Here is a 17996-nt window from a genome sequence, read left to right on the forward strand (position 1 = left end):
TATATAATACCTAATGGGCAATTATTTAGACGGTGTTGGGTTCTTTGTTGACTGTGTTGTGAAGCTATTTTTTGTTTCTTTTTCTTATTCAATGTCTTCAACTTTTTTCCTCTCTTTGCCTTTCTTTCCCATTTTGAAAAACGGAGCAGGCATCTACCTTAAAGAAGCTAAATGCCCAAACTTCTGTGCCCTTGGTATATAGTTGTGGGATTCATGTTACATCGCACTGAGCGATGTATATGTCTGCTTGGGGCAGGACACATTTTTCTGTTGAATCACGGCTTGCATCTGGTCCCTTTGCCATGCACCAACTTTTGCATTTTTTAAAGATGGCAAATAAATCATTTCTTTCAGATTGGATAAAAAATGGGCTATGGTCTTTGGAAGCAGAAGACTTCCAGATAATTCCATGTTTGTACTATAAACTATACCAGTCAATTGCACATTCAGGTTTAGATTTGGGCCAGATTTATGCCCCTGAGAAAGTTCTATTTTTGCATGATTTAGACAAAAAAATGTGTCTGAACAGCATTACCCCGCCTAATTTATATGAAACTGTGATTCTGCCACCTGGAGTTTCGGGTCTGCTCTGTGAGACGTGTCTGGTATGTGACTAGAGGACCAAGCAAGGAGGAGGCGGCGAGGGGGAAGAGAGTCCGCTTAAAAGGGAGACGGCCATCCCAGCCAACTGAATGGGGCGTGCACAACCAGCTGGGAGGGAGGCCTCTTCATTGTGTTTTATTATTGGCTCTTGTGTACAACCAGAAAGGCACCCCCCTCCTCGGGGCATGCTTGGTTGCTACGATCTGTTCCTGGGGGATGGTGTACATCCCGAATGGCATCCCCCTCCTTGCCAGACAGGCTTGGGTAGCTCAATTACCCAAGCAGCATTTTGATACCAGACACTTCCAAGTTCCACCTGCATCTCAGCCTGTGTAAAAAAAGACAAGCTGAGCAGCTCTCCCATCACCATGCTTGGGGAATATCTGCAGGAGAACTCGCTCCCCACTAGACAAATATTGCTCATCTCTTCCTAAGCAAGAGATTCCAAGGTGATTTGGTTTTGCCTTGTTTTTAACTGTCAACATCCTCTTCTAAGGCGCCAGGCATTCTTAGTTTGCTGCTCTAAGGAGTTAGGGTTATGTATCTCCTCATGGCTTGGAAACTGACCCTCCCTGGTCTGTGCATTTCACAGTCATTGGAGGCCTCTGCAAAGGTTTGGCAAATATTTTTTGAGCATTGGCTTCATGGCAGGCCCCTGTCTGGGGATAAATTTCCAGGGATGGAATACAGTGATGAACAAGACAGACATGAGCGATTGGGAGGCTTGCAGTGTAGTGGAAAAGAGGACCATGAATTTAATGCTCACATAAATATGCAGACAGAGAAGTGAAAAGGACAGTCCACAATAAGGGTTTGCCTTACTGGGAAGTAGATAGGGCATGGCAGAATTGAAGAGTTTCCTAAGGAGGGCCCATTTGAGCTGATAACTGTGTGCTGAACAAAGAAGTCTGAAATGCCAGTCTGGGAAGGAAGCAGGGATAACCACTAGCTCAAGAGAGGCACTTTTTTTTCTTTTTTTTTTTTTTTGAGACAGAGTCTTGCTGTGTCACCCAGGCTGGAGTGCAATGGCATGATTTCAGCTCACTGCAACCTCTGCCTCCTGGGCTCAAATGATTCTCCTGCCTCAGCCTCCTGAGCAGCTGGGATTACAAGTGCCCACCACCATGCTCAGCTGATTTTTGTATTTTTAGTAGAGACGGGGTTTCACCATGTTGGCCAGGCTGGTCTTGAACTCCTGACCTAGTGATCTGCCCACCTCAGCCTCCCAAAGTACTGGACTACAGGTGTGAGCCACCACGCCCAGCCAAGGGGGCACTTTTTAACTGGGTAGGGACACTGACTTACCCAAGGGCACTCAGCAAGCCAGTGGTAGGGTCACAGCAAAACTCCCTGCAGTCAAGGAAGATGCTTAAACACAAGGACTCTTCGTCAAAAGGAGCTAGGGCTGACACACTGGAATGCCTCATTCCTTAGTCTTTCTGAGTCTTCATTTCCTCACCTGTGGCATGAGAATGATAGCAACCACTCCACACAGGAATATTTTGAGATATAATTAGAATAAGTATGCAATGTGCTTGAGCACAAAAAATATTAGCTGTTACAGTCATTTATTCTTATTTCGTCTTTGGAAGCAACTCTATAAGACTGAAAGAAAGAGAAGTACCACCTCCCCAAATACTGGCCCAAAAATCTTTTATTTTAAAAGACAAAGAAAGAGCCACAGATCACACATGCATGGATCCATTCAAAATATTTATTTATTAAGTTCTTACTAATGGTAAAGGCATTATTTAAGGTGGTAGGAGAGAGAAAGGGGACTGTGAAATAGATTTCCTGCCCTCGGGGTCAGATTACCTGTTTGAGGAGTTCCCAAGTTTCAGAAAATCAGATGTGAGGGCTGAGACATCATCTTGATTATCCCATCATTTCATAGGTGGGGAAACTGAGGCCTGGATCAGGAGGTTGGTGGCTGATCTTAGCCCTCGGGCCATTTTCCCTGCACCTTCTCTCTGTTTTTACCAGCGGCAGCCCTTTGATCTCAGAATCTGCTTTATGCCCCTCACTGAAGAACTGCCTTTGCGGAATTGTCAAAAGATGCTTGTGGAGAGTTGGAAAAAGCCCCCACCCTTATCTTTCTGAGGAGGAGCAGAGGAGGCTGAGCTCTTTCAGCATCCTCTGAAATTTTATCAGTGCGTATCAGAGAGCCACTGCATAGGGAGCTGGCTGGTGCGTGCTTTTTTATGTAGGCTTCTTCTTCCTTTCAATGGACAGTTCTCAGTGCTTCCCAGACTCCTCCTTCTAATTCAGGTATCCTGTCCCCATTGCAAACCTGCCCAGGATGGGGTACGTTTCTGGGCTCAATTATCACAAGTTGTCCTTGCCTATATGGATATACTGCATTATTTCATCTCTTAAAGGGGGCATGATGTGGCCAGGCATGGTGGCTCACGCCTGTAATCCCAGCCCTTTGGGAGGTTGAGGCGGGTGGATCACAAGGCCAAGAGATCGAGACCAGCCTGGCCAACATGGTGAAACCCTGTTTCTACTGAAAATACAAAAAATTAGCTGGGTGTGGTGGCGTGCACCTGTAGTCCCAGCTACTCAGGAGGCTGAGGCAGGAGAATCACTTGAACCCAGGAGGCAGAGGTTGCAGTGAGCCGAGATTGCACCACCGCACTCCAGCCTGGCAACAGAGCAAGACTCCATCTAAAAAAAAAAAAAAAGTTGGGAGGTGGGGCATGGTGCAAGGCAAAGCTGCTTGAGGTGTATCCTGGTACAAAAATGGTTTCTCTGAGACAATAATCTCCATTTTCCACAGCCAGACTTGACTTAGCTGATGGTTTGGAGGTGCTGCTTGCCAATCCTTGGACTGAAGTTTTTAATTTCCAACAGCATGGCAAACAACATTTTATTTCTGGTTTATTTACAGATACATTTTCAGGGGCTGGACTGAGTGGGAGCGTTCTTGGACTAGGGTGGTAGGGATGCCGGGTCAGCCCACAAAGCAACATGGCCTGGGCATGAGGCTTCTCTGAAGAACGCATTTGGGGAGCCACCCAGGCCCCTGCCTCTGGGACAGTGTTTGGGGACCCTATTCAAATGGCGGAGAGCTGCCTTCCTAGCCTGTGATGCAAGGCTCTGCTGCCAGTGCTATGTATCAACAACTACCCTGGAAGTCCTTCCTGTAATTAACCCCAGCTTCAGGGACACTGCTATTTGCACATCAGTTCTCTCCTAAACACCGCCTCTTTGCCATTATTCCCTAGGAAGATGAGTCACTGAAGGAGATGGCTTATCTCAACTCAGTTTTTAACTAGCTTTTGTCTCCTGGAGATATTTGTCGATGATACTTAACAACATTTCAAACCAGGCACTTCTTTTCCCCTTCAACTTTTTTTTTAATAACATTTTCTTCCTTTCTGCTTTTATATTTCTTCCTCTCCCTCCCATAGCCTTTCATGCATTCAGGATGTAAGAGAACCGGCATCAAAGCCCAGAGCCCTGCTGAATCCTCCTCCCCTATAGTAAGCGTGCCCTTTTCCTGTCTGATCATTGACTCATAACCACAGAACGTCCCAGGCACAGGATGGGGGAGAGGGAGGGCTGAATAAGAGGTACCACGGTCTGCAGCCCCAGAGGAGACAAAAGTTGAGGATTTGTTGAACAGGACTTTTTTTCCCCTTTGGGGATAATTGTCCAGGACACTCTGAGCTGACCCAGTCCAGGGTGGGAGTGAGGGGAAGCCAGCACCCCACCCCCAACCCATCAACTGGTGACTCCAACCAAGTGAGACTCCTGTGGTCAGGCTCCAAGTCCCAAGGCCAGGCCAGTCACCAGCCCATGCCCTGGGCACCACCAAGACTTTTGATTGCATTATTTAATTTTAAAGAGATTGAACATATGTGTATTGATTGCATACTATGTGCTGGACTTTGAGCTGACAGGTGACAAATACAGGCAGGCTTAAACGCTGTGGAAGTTACTGTCCCCCTCCTACAAGACAGAATTTCCAGGCCAGAGACAGCCCCGAGCTCCCCACACTGCCCAGGTCCTCCCTCCCCTTCTGTCTCCATTAGGGATGAATGGGGATCACATCTGTTTCTTTTCTTGCTGAAAAGCAAGAGGCAAAGACCCTAAAATGGGGACAGACCAGCACACACCTGGGTGGTCTTTAAATTAGAGAAAAGGATTTTTTTGCCAGAGTTCCTCATTTAAGCCTGCATTCTCAATATTTTTCATTGCTCTCTGCCCCTGTAGGTTGGGAGAAATGAGGTGGGTCGGGGGCAGGACTCTGGTGGGGGCATAACAGGGTACCCCCCCGCATTGTCCCATTCCTCTCTGGGGTTCACGCATGTTTCTCTCCACCATGTTTCCAGCACTGGATTCCTCACTGGGCTGGCCAAGCATGGTCCAGGCACTAACAGCTCAGTGGGAGAGGCAGCGGCGGGTGCAGGCCATGAGGCTGCAACCATTTCCATTTTAGTATACATGTGCAGTTTAGGTCCTTTGGAAAATTAAATTGTTAATGTTCTGGCTTGGTATTATTTTTATTTTAAGTGTAGAGTCTCAAGCCAGACTCTCTGGGGCAAAATCTCTGTGTTATAGCTGCCTGGCTTTGGAAACTGTGCCTCAGTTTTCTTGTCTATAAAATGGAGATAATAAAAGTCCGACCTCCTTGGGCTGTGAGCAACATTTGAGACTAGGTGTGAGCTCTGGTTTGTTGCTGGGGGCAGCCTCTAATGGTCTGCTTCTGCCTTCCTGCCCCACATTGAGACACCTTCCTCAGAGAGTTGTTGTGTCTCATTGAGAAACCTGGACATCTGTGGTTTCACTCAGCACTTTCTTTGTTAATTAAAATCACAAAGTAAGAAATAAGATGCCCAGGGTGAGTCACTCTCCTGGAGTCACCAGGCTCGGGCTTTCTCAGGGTAGTGGTGTTAGAGAAGTATACACCAAATATTATATGGGGATGCAATTATACTAACAAATTATTTGGTTGCCTGAAATTCAAGTTTAACTGGGGCATCCCATATTTTTATTTACAAAATCTTACAATCCTATCTGAGGATTTTTTTTTTAAACTGGTGATTTGGTCCGATGCCCAGTATCCCTAAAGTAGACACAGGCCAGATGGGCTTCTAGAAATGGCTCTTCTCACCCGGCATGGAGGCTCACATCTGTAACTCTAACACTTTGGGAGGCGGAGATGGGAGAATTGCTTGAGCCCAGAAGTTCAAGACCAGCCTGGGGTACATGGTGAAACCCTGTAGCTACACAAATAAATAAATAAGCTGTGTGTGGTGGCATAGTGGTTCATGCCTGTAGTTCCAGCTACTTAGGAGCCTGAGGTTGGAGGTTGCTTGAGCCCTGGCGGTCAAGGTTGCAGTGAGCCATGATCCTGCCACTGTACTCCAGCCTGGGTGACAGAGTGAGACCCTGTCTCAAACCAAACAAACAAACAAACAAACAGAAAGGCTCTTCTCAGGAATATTTGAAAGCCTTAGAGCAGACGGAAAGAGAAAGGGGTGTCAATGGGAACTCACGTCTTCCCTGTTTCTTATGAAAATAGTGACAGCCATTCTTAAAGTAGCTGCCTATGGCTAAGAGGACAGAAAAATATGCCTTCTGGAGGTGTTGTGGTTTTTTTAGGCTTCAATATAGTTGTGTGTGTGTGTGTGTGTGTGTGTATGTGTGTGTTATTAGGAGAGCAGGGGCCATGGGAGCAATTCAATTAGTGGCTTCTATACATCTGAGGGTCCTATGAACTATGTGATAGGCAACATATATGCCGTTCATTTTTGTATAAACATATACAATGTTTACCCAAACTGCTTGGTATAACAGTTTAACTTTCCAAGTTCTTCTTGCTTAATTAACATATTCTGAGTTACAGAAAATTCTAATTCATTCATGAATGGGAGCGATTAAGTGGAGGAGGAATCAGCTATAAGGCATACTCCTGTGGTTGCTTTTTAGAGTTTGCCAAGGGAACCATTAAGTGAGCCTAGTTAGGCTTTTGTGTTTGTTATGTGAGGGGGGGCTGATAAGAATTATTATTATTACTTATAATTGTGAACAAAAAGTAAAATTACTGTCTTATGGGAGATTTATTGAGTGTTCATTTCATAGACCATGCTTCTTAATGAGCCAAATCGTGATCCACTGGGCTTATAACGTCAATGAGTGTAGCTTGAGTAAGAATGTTGTTTAGAAAACGTGTGTGTGTGTGTGTGTGTGTGTGTGTGTGTGTGTGTGTTTCTTTTTCTTTCTTTCTTTTCCTCCAAAGAGAGTGATGAGAGAAATTTAGTCTCTGGCCACAACAGTGGTGTGATTCAGATCCCAGCATTTATAGAGGCAAATTAGTTGGTGCACCAGCATACTAATGTGGCAGACACCAGCCTGAAGGCAGAGGGGCTAGAGGAGGGGCTTTCTCTAGGAGATGCTTAAAGGTGACCAGAGACCCAAAGACAGACTTTTAGGATGGAACAGCCCCCTGAGTCAAAAGAGGAAGTTTGCTTCGGTCTTTGTATTTTCCAAATGTTCTTTTCTCCTTTCTTTGCAAAACGGCAGATAAATATAATTTTCTATTGTTACATCAGTAAGTTTTGATCCAAGTCCCACAGTGAATAAATAACTATATAAATAAATACATACATAAATGAGGTCATCATTTCTTATTTAGATTTTTAGAGGAGATGGCTAGGAAATACTTTACCAAAATTAAAATTCCAATCTACATTTAGAGTGGCTAGATGATATTTCAGCCACTCCGTGCCTGATCTTTTCAAAAGCATGAGCTCCTTTGCCTCTTAATTCCACAGCTTCTCTTTGAGAGAGAGTGAGGGACGAATTTGTAGGCTGGAGTTTGTGGCATGGCAGGAAATCAGAGACAAACTCTCAGAGATTAAAGGAGCTGGGACTTAAGGGTAAAAATATAATGGAAGCCAGTTTTTGACAGAAACTTTTTCCAATACATGTGCAGCCATCATGGCCAAAAAACATAATTTACATTCACCTCTTTACCTGCAAGACAAGTTACTTTGGTTCCTTTCATTAATTGGATTTACAATGCATCCTTTATGAATTATAAAGTAGTTTGATTTAAAAATACCTCATTTTCCCTTCCATGTAACTTTATCTAGGATTTTCAAATCTCACTTTTGTGAATAAGTCACTCCAGTTTAGCTCCTAGGCATTGCGCAGGATCACCTGCCGCATGGGTTGCCACTCGCCTCACCCTATTTTAAGATTTTTTAAAACTTAATTACGACAAGATGGAATATCCCTCTGTCAACAAGTCTTGGTAACTGCTGGCTCACTCTTTTTCTTCTTACCCAGGGCCCATCCTTTTTCTTCTCAAATCCTATTTAATTTTTGCATTTCCTGATTTTTATCTTGGGAAAACAAAAACCAGCTGCAGTCAGTTAAGGAAACAGCTGAGGGATGCTGGCAGGTAGAGGCCTTGCAGATTTTCAGCCTGAAATTGTGAAAACTGAAATGCAGCGTGTCAGGTTGCAGTGACTTCTGCACCTCCCCAGTTCTCTCCCTTCTGCCTGCAAACACACACACGCGCGCACACACACATACACACACACATGCATACGCATACACTCATGCACACACAAGTCCCTTTTTCTCGCCTCTTGCCTGGCGTCCCCCTCACTTTCTACAGCTGTATTTCTAATCAGCAGAAGATACATCTTGCTTGGAGTCAACACTCCTTTTCTCTGCGCATTCTTAACCTTCTATCTTATGCATGGATCACTGGTTAGCTTAGAAATGCGCAGACACAAAGGGGGAGCTGACATGTGAGGTTTGACGGCCATAATGGCTGTTTATAAGCCTAATCCATCACGTTTAGTGGACACCTCCATTTTTGTCCCTCTGAAAAGGTATAAATAATAAAATGGGATAGCTCCAGCTCAGAGGTGCCTTGGTAAATATTTTAACTATTTACAAAATAGCACCAATAACAAAAGAAGCATCTGTACCCATGCACAGAGGGGCCCCCGGTCATTAAGAGAGACCCAGATGGTTCCTACCATTCAAACAACAATAACATTTCTTGATGACAGAGCTTTTGTAACATGGTTTACATTTTTTTTCCATATCACATTGTGATATTCTGAATTTGCACTGCTTTTTCTTCATTGCCCCCAGCAACCCTTCTAAAGAAAATCTCCCCAAATAGCCTTTGCCCCTAAGAAAAGAACAAGGCCTTGGAGGAACATGGCAAATGTGTGATTCAAAGCCCAATTCAGAGACAATTCTGAACAGTTATAAACCAGGCCTTCTTAAAGTCCAAATATTGACATGGGCCCACTTATTCTGTGGCCCAGTTCAAGGTTAGCTTTCGGTAAACACCCCCCTTAAGTCCCGAATGAGCTGTGCCATCTCAGACTGAGTGCATGAATCTGCCGCACTGGGTTTGATTTTACTCTTTCATGCCAGGCATAAAGAGAGTAAAATGGAGGTCTGGGAACCCCAAAGGAGACTTTTGGAGTTAAATGTCTTTTTTCTTTGAGGACCCTGTGCGTGACTATATGGTTGGGGGCAGAGTGGCAGTGAAGACACTGCGTGGCTTTTGAAATCTTTCAGCAAGTCAGACTTTTTTTGTTCTGTGCGCAACAAAGCAGGGGGTATCTGCAGCCCGGGGCTGCTTAGTAACTGTTGGAAACTTTAGTTCTCTCTGAACCACTGGGAAAGTCAAATTTTTCGTTACACAAAAAACGGCAGAGAGAGAGGCAGAAGAGTGGGGCGGTTAAGGAACCCAGGTTCTCGTGTCAGGGCAGACCTAGTTTTCAGTCTTCTCTCTGTCCACACTAGCTGTGGGGCTCCAGGCAAAAGTTTCTCAGCATTGAGCTTCATTTTCCAACCCATAATACGAGGTCAATAATGAAGTGAGCTTTGGATAATAACTGTGTGAATTACTAGATATGGTATATATTTAAAGCCGAGTGCTAAATGCTCTACAAAGGTTGCTATAATTAATACGAACAAACCTCTCATAGAGAAATAAAATCTTTTAAAACTAGAAGATGAGGCGGACAGCAATTTCACTTCATGCTTTCTAAACAGCACTGGCGTCTGAAATTTCCTATAGGGAAAGGAAACCAAAAAACGAGACCATGTAACCACTCTCTAGGTCTTTCAGAAACCTAAATGTTCATTTTTTTTCCAAAGGCTCTATTTAATTTTGGAGCTCCCACTTTCCAAATTTGGTCAATAAAATTAACAGCCTCCTTTTTAGTGGAACATCACACCTCCAAATGAGCTCAAGCTGGCCCTGCGATTGTCCTTCGGAATGTGAGGTTTACATTTCACAGCTCCTCGCCAAGTAATGAATGAATCGGAGCTCGTAAACAAACGAGATCCTCGCTTCCCTTGTTCTGTGGCCCCCAACGTGGGGTGTGTGTTACAAAGAAAAATATTTATCCTGTTTGTGTGGCGCTGGGTCCCTGAATGGTCCACCAATAAAACAACACCATAAAGGGCATTTCACAGCTGAGCTCGCAATTTAATAAACAGATGCAAACAGAAGGCCTTGGAGGTCAACAATTAAAAATAAACCAGCAGAGGTTCTCCTTGGAATTCCGTTTCTCTATAAAGCAGAGAGGACCAGGCCCCCGCAGCTGTGGTGGGGGAGGGTGAGTGGTGGGAAAGAAGGCTTTCCAGCCCGTATGAGCTTGGGGGTGGGGTGGGGTTGTACCTGCTCTAGATGATTATTCCAATAACTCCCTTTCTAGCAAGAAAGGGAAACTTTGAAAGCAGATGACATATAACTCATGGACCCAAAGTGGGCTGGAGAATGATACCTTAACCTTGGTTGACAGCAAATGCTATATCTCAATTTCTCTATTTTATGCACCAAAGACAGTAAATATTGGAGCCAATGATCTGAAACAGTGGGAGAATCAAAGAATCACTTCTGTAGAGTTGGTTTTGGAATGGGTTTTCTACTTAAATTTGGAAATGTGTGTGTGTCTTGTGTCTGTCTGTGTGTATGTGTGTGATGCCTATACAATAGCAAAGCCACTAACTAAAGTCCTGGAAAGTTGGCGAGAGTCACCGTTCTGTACCCATTTCCAACTTCACCTTGTACCCCCTCTTATTGCTGCTCAAACCAAGGCTGTCCACAGCATGGATACACCTGTCAGATCCATAATCTGCCACCTACCTGTGTGACCTCAGGCTTCTGTGTCAATTCCTCCTGGCTCATTTTTCTGTTAAAAAAGGGTAACGACAGTACCTGGTTACTACTGGCTAAAAAGTGTTGGGTGAAGATTCAGTGAGGTTGTTCACGTGAGTCTCTTAAGACAGTATTTGCACAAAGCAAGGACTCGAAAATGTTAGTTCTTGTTCACAGTATCTGTGCAGTCTGAGAAGGTTACGCTTTCTTTCAGGGACCTCTGCTGGGGCAGATTACACTCACTTGATTTGCGAATGTGTTGAAGGCCTATAAGCCTCCCATTCCCACACACTCACCCACACAAAATCCCAAATGCCTACACTGCTAATGCCTGCAATCTTTCCACATTCCTCCACTGATAAGACGGTGAAGGATGGGTTTAAAGATAACCATTTGCTATGGGGATAGACCTCCCACCAGGACCCAGGTCCATCTGATAGGCAGAATGGAAAGGAGCCCAGTATCATGTGGCTGGTTGCGCCAAGCTCCTCTCCCACATCAGCTTAAGGACCCCAGAGCCACGTTGTGAGTCCCCAGTGTAAATAACCACTATGATGGGTCTGACTTATGCAGTTAGGAGCTTCCCAGCCCCATCTTCTTCACACAGGGGTGGTAGAGGCTGTGACCTCAGCAAATCACTCAAGTACTGGGTATTCAAGTGAATCCCAGTTATACCAGGGAGCTCCCACAGAGGCTTGAGGCAGAGAGAGTGATGTGGCTCACATTTGGAGACTTGGGTGTTTTATGCATATCCAGACCCTCTTTCTTCTTGAATTAGTTACTTGGGAATCACATGGGCTTGGGTTTGAGTTCTTCCACTGCCTTCTTTCTCTCCTTGAAACAAACAAGAGAAAATGCCAAGAGCATTGCTAGGAAACAGGATTCAGAACTAAAGTCTTCCTTTCATCTACATGTCAAATACCAATATTTTCCACCTCTGCATCTAGTTTACTAATATTTAAAAAATTCTCTTCTACACATCTTTTTATCTACCCCTTGGGACGAGCTCGAGTGAGACTATTATCATCCTACTGTCACCAAAGACAAAACAGATATTCAGAGGTGATGTAGCCCCCAGTACATCAGGGTTAAATAGCAAAATTGGATGTTTTTACCCATAACTTTTATTTTTGCATTTTGATTTAGATCTGAACTTTAAAAATCCAACTGTGGCAAAGTATAACACTCATACAGAAAAATGCCTGAAATATAAAAGCACGGTTTAACAAATAATTGTGAAGTCACTGCCTGAATAACCATCATTCAGGTCTAGATATAGATATCTCTATCTTCCCTGGGTTCTCCTTTCTAAACAGGACACCCAGAATAGATAGAGGCACTGTTTTGACTTTTCTGGTAACCATTTTTCTTCCTTTATTTTATGATCTTACTGCTTATATTAGTTTTCATAAACAATGTAGTTTAGTTTTGCTTCTTTTTGAATGTTACAGGAATAGATGCATATGGTATTTATTTATTTGAATTTGCCTGTCTTTTGGCAATCATAGGTTTGTAAGATTCATCCATGTTGCTGAATGATACTGTGGTGCATTCATTTTCTTTATTGCTATAATGTATTTCACTTTGAGACTGCAACCTGATTTATATCCCCATTCTAAGTTGGTTGACTCTAAGCCATCTTCAGTTATGTTTTGTGATGTAGATTGCAAAAATTGTTCACACCTCTATACGTCTAGGCCCTCTGCCAAGCTTTGGGTAATTTTTAAAAAAGGCAATAGTTTGACAGGTGTGAACTATGGCTTCAAGAGGGCTTATATGTCTCTACCTCCTCTCTTGCAGCTCTCTCATCACCATGAGAAAAATAAGGGCAGGCTAGGCTGCCAGCGCAAGGAGGAGGGTGAGAGATGTGGAAAGAAGTAAACCTGAAAATAAATGAACAAGGCCAACCAAGATCTGCTGAACCCTATAAATACGTAAGCGGTAAATGCTTATTGTTATATAATGCTAATATCTTGTAATTGTTTGTTATGCATTATTTAGCAATAGATAAGTGATACAAGCTGCTCTAAGAAATATGCTTACACATCTTCTTGTCAAAATTAGAAATTTGCACAATTTTCCAACTGCAAAGCCTAAGTTACTTCCATCACATTGGACCTTAGCCTTTATCAAGTAGTTTTGGTGAAAAATGTCAGCTAGAATTTAAAATCGTACCCCCAGCATATGAATCTAACTGTGAATAATCCACCCATGGCTCTCATAGAAGTCCCTCTGTACCTTTTTTGTTTATTTGTTTTAGTTTTTATTTTTATTATTTATTTTACATTAGAAAATTTCAGCTTTCAAAATCTCTTCTTTGATTATCTGGGAATACTTCTTGCCCATGGCATTCTCTTTCTTTGTTTTTATTTCTGAGTTCTTCAACAGAAATTGTGGAATGATCATAGAGTAAAGGTGTCTAGGTCAGATTAATACATGTTCTGAATCAACTGGAATCCAGAGGTCTCAAACTGATGGCCCTGATGACAAATTAAGTCCACAGACATACTTTACTTAGTCTATAGAGTTTAAAAGTTGTTACTGAGACAACAAGAAAAACAAAACAAAAACAGACATTTTACATAAAAACAGATTTTACACTTTTCTAGAATTATCATAATATTTATTAACATTGGGCCTGTAGTCCTACTTGGTAAATATTGAACGAAGCTGAGGAGTGGTTTTCCCTTTTGAGGGGTATGTGGCCTCTAATTTGCCACAATCCCCTTATCTCCTATTCCGCCCAATACTGGGACTGGGTACTGGTTGCCATTTATAATAGTCCATATGATTCTGTTTTCTAATGAAAGAGAACTATTTCTCTAACAAAAATTGGGGCAAAAAAGGGGGATTAAAAGGGAATTCTAATTTATTTTTCTGGCCACTATGGCTCTAATAAGTCTTTACTCAATGATTAATGTGCATTAGATCTCGTCACTTACTTCTCAGCTCCAGAACCTTCAATGGCTCCCCACTGTCTATGGGATAAAGTCCAACTCCCTTATGTGGCATTCAGTCCCTTCACAGTCAACTTCCTTGACAGCCACATCTCCTACCCTATACATCTGTGAATTGTAGGCTCTAGAAACCCTGTACAAATCAGAACTTCTGGATCTTCTGCTCACTTCACATCCTCTTCTTTTGGTCTGTTTGCCCAGGCTGGAGTACAGTGGCATGATCTCGGCTCACTGCAACCTCCCCCTCCCGGGTTCACACCATTCTCCTGCCTCAGTCTACCAAGTAGTTGGGACTACAGGTGCCTGCCACAATTCCCGGATAATTTTTTTCCTTTTTTTGTATTTTTAGTAGAGACGGGGTTTCACTGTGTTAGCCAGGATGGTCTCGATCTTCTGACCTCGTGATCCACCCGCCTCGGCCTCCCAGAGTGCTGGGATTACAGGTGTGAGCCACCGCACCCATCCTGTCCATTATTCTTAAACGTCATTTATCTGCTGTTGTATTAAAATGCTGCTCATCTGCTAAGGTTAAACTAAATTCTTCTTCCTCTCTGGGCCCCACTGTCAGTGTTAATTGTCGGAGTTCTTTTGAATCTTGAGCTCTGTGTATCATCATTTTGAAACATAATTCCTTCTGTCCTGATGTATGAGCATGCACAAATGAATAGTGAACATCTTACTGAGTATTCACTCCATGCCAGGCACTATGTTACATGCTTCATGTGTGGTTCACTAAGCCTCACAACTGGTACCTGAGATGATGTGAGCCTTATCCCCATTTTACAGATGAGGACACTGTGATCAGAGAGGCACAAGGTCACAGCCATGTAAATCATACAGCTGGGATTTTCATCCTGGTGTTCTGGCTTTAGACCCCAAGTTTCTAACCACTATGCCACAATCCCTCTCTAGTGTCTCTTACCAGATGACCAGATAAGTAATTGCCTATTATTTATTTCTTTTTCTCAGTCCATCTTAGCATGATGCATTAAACATAATATGTATGCAAAGAATGTTAAATGAATGACGGAATCAGTGACAGAAAACTGTGATGATCTGTTTACCATCTTCCTTTGCTTTTGAGAAACTGATGGCGCTACATTACCCCCAAAGCCTTTGTTGGTGGTTTGGGGTTGGACATCTGAGACAACCTACCCAATCATCATTCTCTAATCTCCTGGTAACACTGGGTAACTCCAGGATTGGCAAATAGTTGGTGCTGAACCAATTGGAATTCTTCCCTTGAACTTTACAGACTGTAAGCAGGAGAAATCAGCAGTCTGTCATCCGTGGTTAGAGCTGTAAGACCTAAAACCTGGACGTTCTTGAAGACCATGTTTCCTGCCATGCCAAGAAAACCAGGCTGCAGACAGTGAAAATTAACAGAATAGGCAAAGAGAAATAGAAAGGTAAAACACAGAGAGATTCTGAATAGCATCCACTATTTGTTACTGTTATTGTTCCTAAAATTAGTCACCTTCCTTGACATTCCCCCAGCTTGAATGGTCAATCTTTCCTGGAATCCACGAGCCAGTATTTTCCCTTTTGTAGCTAAAGTGGTGTGAATAGCATTTCTGATACTTCCAACTGAAACAGCCCTGATGGATATAGGCAGAAGTAGAATGTGGACTGAAAAGGGATTCTGTGTCACAAAGCTATTTTCTTGAACCTCTGTGCCACCCATTAAAGAGATATAAAGAGAACACATTCTGTGTTTATTATTTATTTAGGACTGCAAACGCATTATCCTTGGAAGTTAAATAAATGGATAAGACACTTGCTGTCCATGAACTCATAGCTACAAATAATTAGAATTTTTATTCACTTCTGTACACTCAGCACCTGGCTCCAGGACTGGCACCTAGCAAGATTTCATAAGTATTTGTTGAATAAATAGATAGGATACCCAGGATTATGGAATGATAGCAAGGTGATGGGGGCATAGAAGAGGAAAATAAAATTCTACTAGGGTAGGAGAGTTGTAAATGGTTCAGGCAAAGTTCCCCAAAGAGGAGGATGTATTTGAACTGAGCCTTGAAGGATGTGTAGGTGTTTAGTAGGTAGAAAAGGAAACATGCAAGACGGAAGTTCAGACAGAGGGAAATATACATGTTATAGCCAGAGGCATAAAGTGCACGGCAAATTACAGAAACCAAAGTTCCAGGAGGCTGGCTGATGGTGTTAGAGAAGGCTGGGAGAAGGGGCTGGTGAGGTAGGCTGGGCTGAGTAATGCAAATAGAGAAGATTAAATATTTACATAAGCTCATTAGTGACAATGTGTGCATGTGACAAGTATGATTTAGTTTAAACCTCCAAGGTTTAAATACCCTAAGTGCAACTGTATCTTTTTTGAAATTCATTACATGACATTAATAGGCTCTTTCTCAGCTTCAGTAGTGATCATATTCATGATTTACTCCATCTCTCATCCCTGGGGTCAGGGACAGTCCATTCTGACCTCCATCCGTCCTCTCACACCTTCCTCAGGAACTAAACATTGGCCGCTAGAAAGCTCCCATTTTTTGTCCCATATAAAGGGAAGCAATTTTGCTTCTAAAGATTTAACAGGAGAATTCCCATTATTATGAGAATCAATAAAAAAAGGGATTCTGTGTCACAAAAGCTATTTTCTTGATTTTCTGTGTCACCCATTAAATGCAATTCTATAAGAATCCTTTTTTTTTTTTAAACAAAAAGAGGTTTAATTGGACTTACAGTTCCACATGGCTGGGAAGAATTCTTTAAGAACTTGTCAGGAGTCCTATAACATGGTAGGTATATCCTAGAAATATCTAAGCTCTCAAATTCCTCAAGGACAGAATCTCTTCTTCTAAAGACCTTACAGCCTTATTGAGGGGACAAGATCAATATCATTAAGTTTGATAGAATCACTTGCTTTTCCAAAATGTTTGTAAAATGTTTATAGATTACAAAGCACTTCTGTGTGTCTTCTTACATTTGACCTTATCTGTGCAGTGGATGGTAATTAATGATTATTATGATATATTAGGCAGTGGCTAAGGGCTCTGAAGAAAGGCAACACTGAATCCATACCCTAAATTTCAATTAGGCCGAGGAGGGCAGATCACGAGTTCAATTAGGTTAAGTTTTGCTGCAGTATCAAAGAACCCTGAGATCTCAGTGATTTAAGACAACAAAAGTTTATTTCTCATCTATGCCTATGTCCACTGAGGGGTGGTTAGGTGCTCTTCTTCTCACAGCCTTGTACCAGAATTCAGGATGATGGAGCAACCACCTTCTCACGTGTTGCTTTCAGAGGGGAAGACAGCTCTGGAGGGTCTCAAATCCGCAATTAAATGCTTTCTTTCAGAGGTAGCATACTACCCACTCACAACTCCTTGGTCAGAACCAGGTTCATGACCCCAGCAAAATACTACCAGGTGGACCACTTGCTGAAGATAAGCAAGTCATACTTTTTGCTATGAGGTTTCTAGTAGTTAATGCAAAGAGGTTTATCTTTATGCTGTCTGTATTTTTTTGGTGTCTATCAAACTTAAAAACAAAACATTGCTCAAGATAAGTAGATGAGTAGTTACTCCTGGGGCTGAACAAAATTTGAAACCTGCTGAAAACAGATTCCTGAACCTCACCCCCAGAAAGTTTGACTAATAAGACTAAACAGAGATAGTTCAAGTGGAACATACCAGGACAGATGAATTTATTATTGAAATATTAAAATACTTCTTTATTTGTTGGTAAATACCAAATGTCACAGTCCCTCTGACATTTGTCTACCCTCCAGTCCCACTAACTGTCCTGACCCCAACCCAGGACTCCTTGCAATTCTCCAGTGAATAAAAGAGTAATGTTTTGCTGAGTTGAGTGTTCTGAAGCCCCTTATTGCTGCAGGTGACATACTGCCTGATTCGTATGACTCCCCCCAGTTGTTGAATGTTTCATATATGACCTTTGATGGGGAGGGCTGGGAACCGGAATTATATCAAGTACCCCAGAAAATTCTGATTCAGAAGAATATTGGCCATCCTTTTAGAAACACTGATCACACAACCTGATGAGCCAACCATGATAGTGACTGTATCAGAAATTCCCTAATGGAAGTGTGCAGAGGATGCAACAAGACCACAGGAACAGGACCCAGGCTTCTGGCAATGGGGGACTGGCATTGTTGGGGAATCTTCCAAGGAGAGATAAAGTTAGCAACACCTTGAAAGCCACTCCAGAGCTCTCTAAGACCCAAAATAAGTAGAAGCCTTGGTTGACTTTCTCAGCTTAGCAAGAGATGCAAAATATCTATATATGCAACG

General features: G+C 42.7%; 3 annotated features.

The window, feature by feature from the left end:
• Nucleotides 4206-4820: an enhancer, noted in NCBI's record as "H3K27ac-H3K4me1 hESC enhancer chr16:51573189-51573803 (GRCh37/hg19 assembly coordinates)". NCBI's record gives its function as "activates a minimal SCP1, AML or CMV promoter by ChIP-STARR-seq in primed H9 embryonic stem cells {active_cell/tissue: H9 hESC(primed)}" and the evidence as "EXISTENCE:reporter gene assay evidence [ECO:0000049][PMID:30033119]".
• Nucleotides 4821-5434: an enhancer, noted in NCBI's record as "H3K27ac-H3K4me1 hESC enhancer chr16:51573804-51574417 (GRCh37/hg19 assembly coordinates)". NCBI's record gives its function as "activates a minimal SCP1, AML or CMV promoter by ChIP-STARR-seq in primed H9 embryonic stem cells {active_cell/tissue: H9 hESC(primed)}" and the evidence as "EXISTENCE:reporter gene assay evidence [ECO:0000049][PMID:30033119]".
• Nucleotides 7742-9118: an enhancer, noted in NCBI's record as "VISTA enhancer hs73". NCBI's record gives its function as "enhancer in: neural tube[7/9]" and the evidence as "EXISTENCE:transgenic organism evidence [ECO:0001131][PMID:17130149]".

The sequence above is a fragment of the Homo sapiens genome, chromosome 16 (genome assembly GCF_000001405.40).
Source record: "Homo sapiens chromosome 16, GRCh38.p14 Primary Assembly".
Lineage (NCBI taxonomy): Eukaryota > Metazoa > Chordata > Mammalia > Primates > Hominidae > Homo > Homo sapiens.